This window comes from Homo sapiens, chromosome 6, assembly GCF_000001405.40.
Source record: "Homo sapiens chromosome 6, GRCh38.p14 Primary Assembly".
NCBI classification, from domain to species: domain Eukaryota; kingdom Metazoa; phylum Chordata; class Mammalia; order Primates; family Hominidae; genus Homo; species Homo sapiens.
The window spans coordinates 87,385,831-87,400,355 of NC_000006.12; the positions used below are offsets into that span (position 1 = coordinate 87,385,831).

General features: G+C 41.0%; 1 long non-coding RNA gene across 1 annotated transcript; it reads left to right on the forward strand.

The window, feature by feature from the left end:
- The first annotated feature begins 11,293 nt into the window (after positions 1-11,293).
- LINC01590 (long intergenic non-protein coding RNA 1590) lies at positions 11,294-13,911 on the forward strand. The gene is made up of 2 exons (NR_026784.1): positions 11,294-12,547; positions 13,608-13,911. It is a non-coding gene; the product is annotated as a long intergenic non-protein coding RNA 1590 (long non-coding RNA).
- The last annotated feature ends 614 nt before the right edge of the window (positions 13,912-14,525 follow it).

Here is a 14,525-nt window from a genome sequence, read left to right on the forward strand (position 1 = left end):
GCACGTTCTGCACATGTATCCCAGAACTTAAAGCAAAGTAAAAAAAAAAAAAAAAAGAAAGAACAGAGAAAAAAAAAATCTTAACCTGTCTCTTGACTTAACAATTCCACATCTAGGAATCTGTTTTGTACAATACTAGCAAGGATACATAAAAGTATGCATACAGGATGCCCACTGTAGCATTATGTGTGGTGGCAAATAAAAGCACTTACTAGAAAATTAAAAAATAATAATAATAACAGCACAATGCCAAATTGGGGAATGCCCCAATAAAGGTATTAACAAAGGACTGTGTGAGTTCAGAGAAACATAATGGCTAGTTTTGACCTGGGACTTGAAGGACCAGTCCAGTTTCAACGGACAGATTTGGTGAGAAGATGGGGGTAATCTAAGCAGAGAGAAATATATGAGGAAGTGTACAGTTAGGAAAATGTAATTTAGAATGATACATAAAAGGGGGCCATGAGAAATAAAACTGGAAAGAGAGGTCAGGGGTTAATCATGGAGGCTCTCCAATACCATGCTAGAGAATTAGGAAACAGGCCTAGCACTGTGGTTCATGCCTGTAATCCCAGCAACTTGGGAAGCCAAAGTGGAAAGATCGCTTGAGCCCAGGAGCTCAAGGCTGCAGTGAGCCATGGTCTAGCCACTGCACTCCAGCCTGGAGGACAGAGCCAGACCCTATCTCTTAAAAACAAACAAACAAACAAACAAACAAACAAACAAAGAATTAGGAATTTATTTGCCAGGCAACATGATCACGAACACCTTCAAAATGGACCAGAGAGATGTCCACAGTAAAATCAGAAATAGAGAACTAAATCAACCAAGTGATACTGCATATCCACAATGCAGGAAGCTCTTTGTTCAGTGAAGAGATACTTGCCTATTAAGAAAAAAAAGCAGGGGGCGGGGAGAATGAAAGCTTTTTGTTATTTTGTCCATTATTGTAATTTGGAACTGTTTTCAAATGTTTGAGAGAACTGAAAGATTAATGAAATAATATATGAAAAAGCTTTGCAAATAATAGTCCTTTTTATTTAATTATTTCTTCTCAAGTAACATGAAACAATTTACATGAGTAGAAGAATAATATGACATTAAGGACATGGAACAGAAATGTTTTATCCATATAGAAACTATAATAAATTCAGGTTGAATATACCTTATCCAAAGAAGTGTTTCAGATTTCAGATTTTTTTGGCTTTTGGAATATTTGCATATAATAATGAGATATCTTGGGGATGGGACCCAAGTCTAAACACAAAATTTATTTATGTTTCATATATACCTTATACACATATGCTGAAGGTAATTTTGTCAATATTTTAAATAATTTTGTGCATGAAACAAAGTTTGTATACATTGAGCCATCAGAAAGGAAAAGCATCACTATCTCAGCCAACCATTGGACAACCTGTGGTTGTTTGGCATCACCATCATTTCTGACTCTGAAATTATATGCTCAGGCCGGGCACGGTGGCTCATGCCTATAATCCAGCACTTTGGGAGGCCAAGGCAGGTGGATTGCTTGAGACCAGGAGTTTGAAGCCAACATAGCGAAACCCCATCTCTACTAAAATTATAAAAATTAGCTGGGTCCGGTGGTGCACACCTGTAATCCCAGCTACGATGAGAGGCTGAGGCAGGGGAGTTGCTTGAACACAGGAGGCAGAGGTTGCAGTGAGTGGAGATCACACCATTGCACTCCAGCCTGGGCGACAGAGTGAGATTCTGTCTCAAAAAAAAAAAAAAAAAAAATTATACGCTGCTGATAGTCATTTTCATATACTTATTTATACATAACTACTTATTAAAAATATGACATACATATCTGGTATGCGCAGAAAAGATATATTGCAGCTGAAGGTGGCTGGGAAGGTCTTTTTTCCTTTGGGGATGCTGAATAAACTATGTAGTGGGCCTTTGCTTTGACTTTTGGCATAAGGATGCTCAACTTGTAATATTCTTCAGGCCAAAGTGAGGGAGGAAAAGAAGGGTGCAGTGGGGGCAGGAAGATGGAAGAAGGAAATAGGAAAGACAAAAGGAAAAAGGGAAATGGGCAAGAAAGGAAGGCAGCTGGAGGGCCGCAGAGAGGCCTCATAGGAGAGAGACATGGGGGTGGCAATGCTCAGGCATACAGCTAGCAGGAAGCTTCCCAAGGTTTCTCATTTGTTCACTTCCCTCTCTGACAGCTTTCTCCCATATTCCATCACTGGCACATTCTCTACCGTTTTGAGCTGAATACTGCTTGCTCCTCTACAAAGCAAGGATTCGTAGAATAAAGAGAACCTAAAGGTTTTATTTAGGCCGTGATTCACATGGTGATAAGACTCTTAACAGCCTATGAACGAATAATGATCTTAGGAATTATCTACTTTTGCAAAAGGCTTTCTACATATATAATTTTACTGCAAGGACACTTCACTGTTATTTTTTATATTTTTATTTTATTTATTTTTTTTTTGAGACAGAGTCTCGCTCTGTTGCCCAGGCTAGAGTGCTGTGGCGCAATCTCGGCTCACTGCAAGCTCCGCCTCCCAGGTTCACACCATTCTCCTGCCTCAGCCTCCCGAGTAGCTGGGACTACAGGTGCCCGCTACCACTCCTGGCTAATTTTTTGTATTTTCAGTAGAGACGGGGTTTCACCTTGTTAGCCAGGATGGTCTCCATCTCCTGACCTCATGATCCAACCGCCTTGGCCTCCCAAAGTGCTGGGATTACAGGCGTGAGCCACCGCGCCCGGTGTCACTTCACTTTTAAAGAGCCTTCATATCTGTCATCTTATTTGAGCTTTCAGTTACACAGGATGAACATTCTTATCTTCATTTTACAGAGCAGAAGAGATAAAATGGCTATAAGGCCTTCCTAAGTAAGGGATATCCATCTCCAAAAGGATCATCTGTGGCCATTTTGATGTCATCTTGGTAGAAACTTGAGGATCTGAGTGGATCAGATGTCTGGGGAGTGAGTGAAAACCACGTTTAGTCTTGTTAAAACACCAATAATATTTTAAAATCAGTGATTCTATAACCTGTTCCTGTTTTTTTACTTCAGTGTGGGAAAGAGGTGTGCTATTTAGTGTAGTGAAAAGGGTACTGGGCTGAAACAGAAGATCTGAGTTTTAATAGTAATAATATTATTAGTTAATAAAAATAGCTATGTTTAGTGAGCACTTATGGCATGCCATACACAGCACTAAGCCCCTTAGTCTTATTTCTTTTCATCTCTACCACAACTGTATGAGGTCAACACTATTTTTTTTTTTTTTTTTTGATAAGTGATGTAGCTAAAGCTAAGTGAGCTGAAGTAATCTGGCCAAGGGCTTCAGTTCAGGCTCTGTATCATTCAGACTATTTATACCCTTTTTGAGCTTTTCATTTCTACATCTGTAAAATAAGACCACTGAGATCATTTGAGAAAAGGATAAAGACATGGAATATGCATCAACATAAGAGAGTCTGTTACACTATGTCAGGGGTCGGCAAACTTTTTCTGTAAAGGACAAATAGGAAGTATTTTAGGGTTTGTGGGCCACACAGTCTTTGTCAAAACTACTCAATTCTGCCATTATAGAGCAAAGGCAGCCTGAGATGATACATACAGGAAGGAGCATGACTGTGTTCCAATAAAACTTTATTATAGATTTTGAAATTTGGATTTCATGTAACTTTCACATTTCATAAAATATTATTGTTCTTTCAATTTTGTTTAACTATTTAATAATTTTAAAAAATCATCCTTAGCTTGCAAGCCATACAGAAACAGGCAGGGGCTGGTTTATGGAATGTTACTCTATTTGGAGATATCACTGATATCCATGTTTATGATTGGCACATTTAAGTGATCAGAAAGGAAATATTTTTCAAGTGGAACAAACTGTTTCATCTCTTCTCACCAATGACCACTGACCCTACAATGTCTTCTACTTTTGGTGTGTGCCATATCAGAAGAAATTGCTGGAGCATGTAAGAATCTTTATATTTTAAGGCTAGCTGAGCTGAGGGTTCAGTAGAGGGCAAAGACCAAACTGATACCCAAGGCAAGCTCCAGAAAAGAAATTTCTAGGTAAAGCATTGTTGCCTGATAAAGAAATAGTTTATTTTTTAAAATAAAAATAAAAACATCAATCAAGCACTTAATATACATCAGTGAATAGCCTTTGAGCTCCTACAAGCATGGGTCTGGGTCTCCGCAAGGTAGTCAGGCTCTTGGCACCAGTAGGCAGACAGGTTTGGAGGCAGCACCAGCAGAAGTGATCCCGAAGGCACTGTCCTCCACTTTGTCTCCACATGCAGTCTTCCCAGTGATCTCCCAGTCACTAGCACCCCAAAAGGCAGTATCTTGAAACAAAAATGCGTGTACCACCTTTCTCATCCACACTCACAGGCCCATGTGCACATGCATATGGCATTGTCAGGATGAGCGCCTAGTGAGAGCCCCTTCATCTTATTGGCTTCTTTTGAACTCTTAGACATCTGGGTGCAGTGATTCCTTTCATCTCTCGATACCCTGACCAAAGGAGTTGGTTTGCGGACAGCTATTACTTGTACCTATTATTGTACATGTAAATATGTTATATGGACTAGTTAGACATTATGGTGTCCATTTGAGGTATGTCTTAATCTGTTTCAGCTGCTATAACAAAGTAACATAAACTGAGTAGCTTATAAAGAACAGAAATGTATTTCTTACAGTTCTGGAGAAGTTTAAGATCGAGGCACCGATTTGGTGTCTGATGAGGGCCCACTTTCTGATTCATAGATGGCTTCTTCTTGCTGTGTCTTCACATGGTAGAAGGGGCAAGACAGCTCTGGGGCCTCTTTTATTTATTTATTTGGAGATGGAGTCTCACTCTGTCACCCAGGCTGGAGTGCAGTGGCATGATCTCGGCTCACTGCAACCTCTACCCCCTGGGTTCAAGGGATTCTCCTGCCTCAGCCTCCCAAGTAGCTGGGACTACAGGCACCCACCACCACGTCCAGCTAATTTTTGTATTTTTTAGTAGAGACAGGGTTTCACCATGTTGGCCAGGCTGGTCTTGAACTCCTGACCTCAAGTGATCCCCCTGCCTCAGCCTCCCAAAGTGCTGGGATTACAAGTGTGAGCCACTGTGCCCAGCCTGGGGTCTCTTTTATAAGGGTACCAATCCCATTCATGAAGGCTCAGCCGTCCTGACCTAATCATCTCCCAAAGACCCTACTTCCTAAAACCATCACCTTGGGGATTAGGTTTCAACATGTGCATTTTGGGAAGACGCAAACATTCAGACCATAGCAAGGAGCAAGGCTTAGGAGCAGGTCTCATTCCTGGAGCTAGTAGCTGAAGGGGAAGGCATCTACCCAAGAGAGTGGTCATCTACAATGTCCATCATATGTACAAGTTCCAGGCCTTGATAAAGGAAATAGAAATTCTCACACCACTGGAAACTTCCACCTCCTCCTGCACCCGGCTCTCTAGGGGCTTGACTTTGAAGAGAAAGGTGCCAGGTGATTGCTCTTCTGTCACAAACATAAGAATGGAGCCACTGCAGGAAGGAGGGTCAAAAAATTTATTTTGTTCAAGCCTTGGAGAGCGAGCCACATCTTGTAACCAGATTGTGGTGCTCTATGTTATGTACTTGTCCTATTACCCTGGACGTTAGTAAATGTTCCAGCCTTGCCTCAGGGTTGCTGTGGGTTTGGGAGCATTGCCCCCATGAGGTCAGTTCTGTGATGGCAGCAGTAACTCATGAGATCCCCAAGGGAAAGAGACATCAATAGTTGAGAATATGCAATCCTTCTGTGAACCTTCGCCCTCCTGTACCAATCCTACAAAATTAGGAGTCATTGTTCTATGAGAGAAGGCCATCTTCCTCATGGTGTATTCACTGCAATTTCTAAATCCCCTTGTAAATAAGCTGTTTGTTTGTTTGTTTGTTTGTGACGGACTTTTGTTCTTGTTGCCCAGGCTGGAGTGCAATGGCGCGATCTCAGCTCACCGCAACCTCCACCTCCCGGCTTCAGGTGATTCTCCTGCCTCAGCCTCCTGAGTAGCTGGGATTACAGGCATGCACCACCACGCCTGGCTAATTTTGTATTTTTAGTAAAGACTGGGTTTCTCCATGTTGGTCAGGCTGGTCTCGAACTCCTGACCTCAGGTGATCTGCCCACCTCGGCCTCCCAAAGTGCTGGGATTACAGGCGTGAGCCACCGTGCCCGGCTGTAAATAAGTATTCTTACACAGTAGGTGCAAGATGATAGCATATAGGTTAGACATAGGCTAGAATCTGTGGGACCTTAGGCAAGTTACTTCACCTCTCTGTGTTTAGCGTTCTCATCTATAAGATATATATAATAGTACTTCTCTGAAAAGGCTTCTTGTAAGAATTAAATAATATATAAAAATGCTTAGCACAGTGCCAGGCTTATAGTACATGGTTAACACAAGTTCCCTATTATTGCTATAGTACCTTGCCAAACTTCTTTTTTATCAGCCTGATTAATGGGGGGGAAACTACCTTCTTCCTCGGGTCTTCTGATTTCCTGGAAAATTAGTAAACTGTAGTAAAACTATGGACATCAGTCCCTAAGATCATAGCACTAGGCTAGGCAATGTGGGAACTTCAAAAGAATTTTAGAACATAGTTCTCGTCCACCAAGTGCTTACAAGTAAGTTGGAAATGCAGATACGTGGGTTTAAATCTTGACACTACTGTTTAATAACCTTAAGGACCTTGAGCAAGTTTTTTTTTAAATCTCTCTAGGCCTCAGTTTCTTCTTTTTAAAAATGGGGATTATAACAGTAATCACCTCATTGAGTTAATATGATAATTAAATAAGTGAATAGAAGGAAAATGGTCCAACAGTGTTGACATATGGTAAATGCTAACTATTGCTATCTATCACCATGAAGCAGTGTATGTATGAGGAAGTGCCCACAGGAGTGTGCCTCCGGGATGAAGCAAAGCAACAGAGATCCAAGCAGGAGAGGCTGCAACAGGCTGGAGATATGCAGAGTCTTCATGGGGGAGGTAAGACTTAGCTGAGTTTGCAGGCTAGGTAAGCTTGAGACAGGCAAAGACACGTTCAGGAAGAAATAGCATTACCAAAAATACTAAGAAGGAAATTGGCAGGGGCATTTGTTACTACAAACTGCCTTACTAATTCCAGCATACCAGGATTCTCTTTGAGACTTGCAATGCGTAACAGGTAAGTGCTTAATGAATATTTTCCAACTTGTAAAGGACACAGGGAAGTGTGGATTATTCCTTCCCACCCCCAAAATTATTTTACGTCAGTTTCTTGAATTCTGCAAAATTCTCATCTAAATTATTGCAGCTAAGTTTATGCAGTTGTATAGTTGGGGGTGGGCAGTGGGAGAATTTGTAGCTGTAATATCCTGTTTTGACAGTAGGTGGCTCCCTTACATATATGTAAGAAAAGTGGCACTGTGGTCTGTATAGGAAATCACTTAAGTCACTTGAGTAATTGTCACATACTGTATGTCATTGAGGCTGAACATGGAGGCAGTTCTTCACATTGATTTTTGTATGAAAGATGACATTAATGCAGCAGAAGGAACTTTCTTCCTTCTTAGGAACTATGCTTACCTCTTGAGGGTGACAATCTGATTATTATTCTGGGAGTGAAGGTCAGATCCTTGGCAGTACATGTTCCCTCAACTTCTCTCATAAAGATTGGCATTCAGCTTTAACAGTACCTCGTTCATACATGCTATAGACATCACAATCTGGGCTTCTAACTACTACAAAATTATGCTAGAACTTTAGTAATGGCATGGATAACCCACCAGGAACCTTTTCATTTTACCATTCCTTGATATTTAGACTCCACAGACATCAGCTTCATTTCATTCAATATCAGAAATAAGTAGTAGCTCCAGTTAGTCTCTCTTTTTCCGTCAAGTGGACCTGCTTAAATTCTACAGCTGGTAATCTCAGCTCCATTCTGGCCAGTTCGACCCATTGTCCCATCCTGTTACTCCTTATCGATCTGAGGTTTGCTAGAATCCTCTGTTCTGGGGTACTGTGGGAGAAAGTCTACAAATAGAGCAAATCTGGGCCACTGCAGATTTCAATCACATGTGACTAAATTACAATCAGATCATAAAAATTAGTCTGCAACACTGATATTGATTACAAATTTTATAAGTATCAATAAACTATGCTCTCATTTTTGGTACTTCAAGTCATTTTTATTACTAAGTTGCTGACAGGGATAACCTATTTTTTTAAATGCCTAATGCACACATGTATCATTGTCCATCAGAATCAAAGACAGAATTTGTACATAATATTGAAAAATGGAAAAGTGCTTGCTGCACATGGTATTTTAGATTAGCTACTTTTGCAAAGTGTGTACCCCTGGACCACCTGAACTAGAATAACCTGGAATGCTTGTTAAAATGAAAATTTTCAGCTGGGCGTGGTACCTCATGCCTGTAATCCCAGCACTTTGGGAGGCTGAGGTGGGCGGATCACGAGGTCAGGAGATGAGACCATCCTGGCTAACACGATGAAACCCCATCTCTACTAAAAATACAAAAAATTAGCCAGGTGTGGTGGCACATGCCTTTAGTCCCAGCTACTTGGGAGGCTGAGGCAGGAGAATTGCTTGAACCCGGGAGGCAGAGGTTGCAGTGAGCCGAGATCATGCCACTGCACTCCAGCCTGGCAACAAAGTGAGATTCTGTCTCAAAAAAAAAAAAAAAAAAAAAAGAAAGAAAGAAAGAGCAAGGGATGTCCTTAACCAGAAAAATGATATTTATTTTTTCATTTTCAGCAAACATCATACTTAAAGGGGTAATGCAAGCATTTATTTTAAGCTAGTGGAACTGAGTATTACTACTGCTACTATTCAAAATTGAACTGGAAGTTTTAATTAGAACAGTAAAAGAGGGAAAAGACATGAAAAGTAAATGTACTGACTGATACTACCTGACTTCAAGGCTTACTGAAAAGCTACCAGACAGTGTGGTATAAGCCAAAGAATAAATAAATAGATCAGTGGAACAGAATAAGGAGTCCAGAAATAGACCCACACAGACATAGTCAATTCTTTTGAAAAAGGTGCAAAGGCAATCCAAAGGAGAAAAGATAATATTTTCAACAAAAGGTGCTGGCACAACAGGACATCCAGAAGCAAAAAAGAAAAAAAGAAAAAAAAATGAAGACACAAACTCTATAGCCTTCACAAAAATTAACTCAAAATGATAACAGACCTAAATGTAAAACACAAAATTATAAAACCTATAGGATATAACAGAAAAAAACTAGATGACCTTGAATTTGATGATGATTTTTTAATAGAATACCAAAAGCATCATCCATAAAAGAAAAAATGGATAGGTTGGGCTTCATGAAAATTGAAAACTTCTGCACTGCAAAATACCTTGTTAAGGGAATGAAAACACAAGCCACAGACTTGGATAACATTTTTGCAAAACACATATGTGATAAAGGACTGTTAACCACATCATACAAAGAACCCTTAAAACTAAACAATATGAAACAAAAAACCCAACTTTTAAAATGAGCAAAAAATTTCAACAGATATCTCACTAAAGGAGATATATAGATGGCAATTAAGCATATGAAAAGGTGTTCAACATCATATGTCATTAGGGAATTGCAAATTAAAATAACAATAACATACTACTACACACCTATTAGGATGGCCAAAACAATACATTTACAACAACAAATGCTGCCAAGGACGTGAAGAAATTGGAATTCTTTTCTCTGCTGACATGTGGGAATGCAGAATGGTATAGCCACTTTGGAAAGCAGTTTGGCAGTTTCTTACAAAACTAAACATAGTCTTACCATGTGGTTCAACAATTGTACTCCAGTAAAAAGATCAGTGGTTGCCAGGGGTTGGGGGAAGGGAGGGATGATAGAGCACAGAGCATTTTTATAACAGTAAAACTATTCTGTATGATACTGTAATGGTGGATACCTGTCCTTATACATTTGTCCCAACCCATAGATTCCACGGCACCAAGAGTGAATCCTAAACTATGGACTTCAGGTGATAATGATGGGTTCATCAATTATAACATGTGCCACCGTGGTGCAGGATGTCAGTAGCCAGGGAGGTTAGGTGTGTGGGGATAGGGATAGACGGGAACTTTGTACTTTCTACTCAATACTGCTGTGAACCTAAAATTGCTCTAAAAAATAAAATTTATTAATTTTTTTAAAAGTGGGGACAAAGTCTTCCCTGGAACCTGTCACAAGACATGCCTATGACATGCTTTTGGTGTCTACATATCAAGCCAGCTTTTTTCCACTTAATTAACATCTCATATTCATTAAACAATTATTAATAAAATACCTACCATGGGATAGGCATTGTTCTAGGTACTAGGAATAAAGTAGCAAATGAAGCAGATATTTAAAAACTCAGATATTTCACATCTGGGAATCTGAATAAATTACATGCGATACAAAAAATTCTTATACTCAAATAACTCCACTGTTATTTATAATGGTGAAAACTTGAAAATATACTACATAATAGTGGGAATACTTCAGTAAATTATGACACATCCACTCAATTGCATATTATACAGCTATTAAAAATACAGCCCATAATAAGATATAAAAATGTCTGTGTTGTAATGTTGACTGTAAAGGAGTAACATAAGATATGGTAAGAATGTAGATAAGGTGAGTCATTACATGAACATGTTAACAACATTAATCCTTTGTTAATGAATCTATGGGTGGCAGATTTGTACTCCCAAATTTTCATAAAGAGCATGTCTTATTTTTATAATGGAAAATGTCCCAATAAAATATTTTTAAGCCTAGACACTTAATATTTGAATTGACTAGCCAAATCTTCATGCTTTTAATGTCGTAGGTGTGTATCTAATAATTGCTGAAGCTGGAATTTCCTTCGTGTGCAGTCAGCCACACCTCGCTATACCTGTCAAACCATCTCAATTATCCACTCCAATTGTCATGCCTCTCGTGGGTTAGTTGTAAATGGAACACAACTCTAGCATGACATTGCGACTTAAAAGAGCATATCCAGTATTTCGATGATCATTCTGGAAATATATTTCCTCTTCAAAGTTTTTACCTGTCAGTGAGGCATTTAAATTGGGGCATTCTCTTGTTTCTGAAGTCTGATAAAATCTTGACCTTAGAATATTTATTGGTAATATTTATTCATTCACAAAATTAGTTCTTAGCATATCCTATATGTCAGGCATTAGTCTAGAGCTGGGGCTAGAAAAATGAATAAGATTGGGTTCCTGACCCCAGCCCAGGCTCACACTGTAGTAAAGGGAAACAGACATGAACACTAGGTGACATGGAGTGTTAGGGGCGCTATGGTAGAAGTCTGCAGAGAGTGCAATGGGCGTCCAAATGAGGAAGTGATCACTTGCACAAGAGTGGGAGGCTTGGCTGGAAAGGCTTCTCTGAATAGGATGACATTTGATCTGTGTTTTGAAGGGCATCGTTGGCAAGGTAAGTAATCCAATTAAAGGAGGTTGCCTCAGCTAAAGCACAGTATGCTCAAAGGTGCGGATCATTTGAAAATTTGAGTTCAGGTGCAGTAGGGGTAAGGTAAGTATCCAACAGAATTTTCTACAATGATGGAAATGTTCTATATTGTCACTGTCCAATACGGTAGCCTCTAGCCACATTTGGCCAGTACAACTGAAGAATTGAATATTAACTTTCATTTAATTCTAGCTAATTTAAATTTAAATAGTTTCATCAGTTAGTGGCTACCATATTGAACAGTGCAGGTTTAGAGATAAACAGAGGCCAGTTGCAGGAGGGTCTTGCATCCCATTGAGGAGGACTGAATTTTCTTCTGCAGGGCCTTCTGTGGTCTGCAGAAAGGGCAGTACACAGGCAGTAATATTATCAGCTTTGCCTGTGGGAGTGCCCCAGCCTGGAAGCAGATAATACAGTTAGGAGATTCCCATAACCTGCCTGAGTGAGAGCATTAGTAATTAGGGAAGGAAATGGATGTGAGACTTGCTGAGAAGGGCTGGACAGGCTTAGTGACAGGTCTGAGTGTGAGGGGAGAGGGAGTGGGGGAAGTGGGATCAGGTTTGAGCCAGCTATTAAATCAATGCCAATTCATCCCATAAAGAATGCAGAGAGTGGGACAGGTTTGGAGAGTGTAAGGAACATGGCTGTGCTGTAGCCAAGCAGGCATAGGGTAGCAGGAATAGGCCGAGGTAAACAGCCTAGACATCTCAGCGGGATTGGGGTGCAAGTGCACAGTCCTGTGTCTTATATAGTCACAGCCATGTAGGCATAACATAGAGCAGCTCCCCACCTGGCTCTCAGCCACTAGTGTTTGTGTAGTGTATAAATGTAACACTGACCCTGTGAAGGGGCTGCTGAATAAAGCCATGTCTCATTTACCTGCTGTCTCTCCAGTGTTCTTCCAGCTCCCTGCCCCACATCCACCCACTGTCCTCAGACCTCAGCTGGGGCTGCACCCCAACCCTGAGTGTGACAGAGAGAAGATGAGTGTTAGAGATCATGATCCTGAAGTGCTGACGAGAAATTCAGGTGAGTTATTACTATCTTTCTTTCTTTTTCTTTTCTTTTCTTTTTTTGAGATGGAGTCTTGCACTCTGTCTCCCAGGCTGGAGTGCAATGGCGTGATCTTGGCTCACCCCAACCTCCGCTTCCCAGGTTCAAGTGATTCTCCTGCCTCAGCCTCCTGAATAGCTGGGATTACAGGCAAGTGCCACCATGCCTGGCTAATTTTTGTATTTTTAGTAGAGATGGGGTTTCTGTACGTTGGCCGGGTTGGTCTCGAACTCCTGACCTCACGTGATCCACCCACCTAGGCCTCCCAAAGTGCTGGGATTACAGGCATGAGCCACTGCTCCCAGCCACTTATTACTATCTTTCTACTTGCATTGTGCCAAGAGGAAACTGACAGTTCAGCCCTCGTCAACTGAGAGACAGTTGAATTAAAGTAATCTGATGGCATCTCTGGCATTTATTCAGCCATAAGAAAACAGCTGCTAAAAGTGGAATGCAGCTTTTTTAGAATTTCAGCAAAGGTGGAAGGAGATCCAAAAAATTCCTTCTTAGCTGTGCATGGTGGCTCATGCCTATAATCTCAGCACTTTGGGAGGGCGAGGTGGGGGATCACTTGAGGCCAGGAGTTTGAGACCAGCCTGGGCAATATGGTGAAACCCTGTCTCTACTGAAAATACAACAATTAGCCGGGCATGGTGGCATGTGCCTGTAATCCCAGCTACTTGGGAGGCTGAGACACAAGAATCACTGTAACCTGGGAGGTGGAGGTTGCAGTGAGATTGTACCACTCCACTCCAGCCTGGGCAACAGAGTGAGACTCTGTTTCAAAAAAAAAAAAAAAAAAAATTCCTCCTCACAAAATTGAGGACTTATGGACTACAGAGAAAGGCAGTTTTCTTGATGATTGAGAAAATAGTATGACTTTAATAAGGGTTTAGACTGTCCCAAATTAAACTTCGTCGTTGGGATTCATGCCGTAATGCTTCCCATAGTGGGAGGGAATCATAAAGATGAAATTCAAACTGGAGCCCAGTCACCATCCCCCATACCCACCTCCACTACCTGCTCTCCTAGGAAGCCTGCAAGCCTAGAGGTCAGCTCAGTGGCCACCTTCTGAAGCCCAGGGCACCATTGGAAGCTGCCTAGTTTGAGGCACGGATGGAAGAGGAAAACACTGAGAACAACATCCCTCTTCCTGAGGAATGCATACAAGGGTGCTTGGGGGTGGGTTGGGGATCCCAAGGCAGGAGAGCCAAAGCTGGAGTCAGAGGAAGCTCTTCTTCTGAAACCTGTAATTTCAATGTCTTTTCCTTTCCCTTCAAAATTGTAATTTCCTTCTGAAATCATTCTAACCCTTTAGTAAAGACATTAATTTAAAGATGTTTAAAAATCTCCCCCCACCCTCTTTTTTAACCTACTCACTTCTATACTCACCTCTTTAACCCAGATGGTCAACTGTGACTATTACATCCCAGGCTCTCTTCTTAGGTGTGGGGAACTCAACAAGGTATGCTCCCTGTCTTCAAAGAGCTATGGTCTAGTGGGAGAGACAGACAGGAAAATAGACTTCCATAGAGTATTGAGAGCTTTGTCAGGTGTAAGCAGTGGGGGAATGGAGAAATGGGGAGTTACTGCTTGATAAGTATGAAGTTTCTTTTTGCAGTGGTGGAAATGTTTTGGAACTAGTTAGAGGTGAAGGTTTAGGACCCTAAACCCAGTATCGCCGGTCAGAGAAAGTTTCATAGGAGAGATGGCTTCTGAAGACATGGAGGAATTAATCAGATGAAGAGGAAAGGGGACATTCAGAGATAGAGGGAGTAACCTCTAGGCAAAGGTCTGGAGCCCAGAAAAAAATGGAAGTTAATGCAACATGGCCAGAGAATGGCAACAGTGCAGTCTGTCAGGAGAGGAGAGGCAGTTGTGAAAGCTGAGGTTGACATTAACGGCTTCGTATACCATGCCAAGGAGTCTGGAGTTACCCAAAGACCATTGAGAA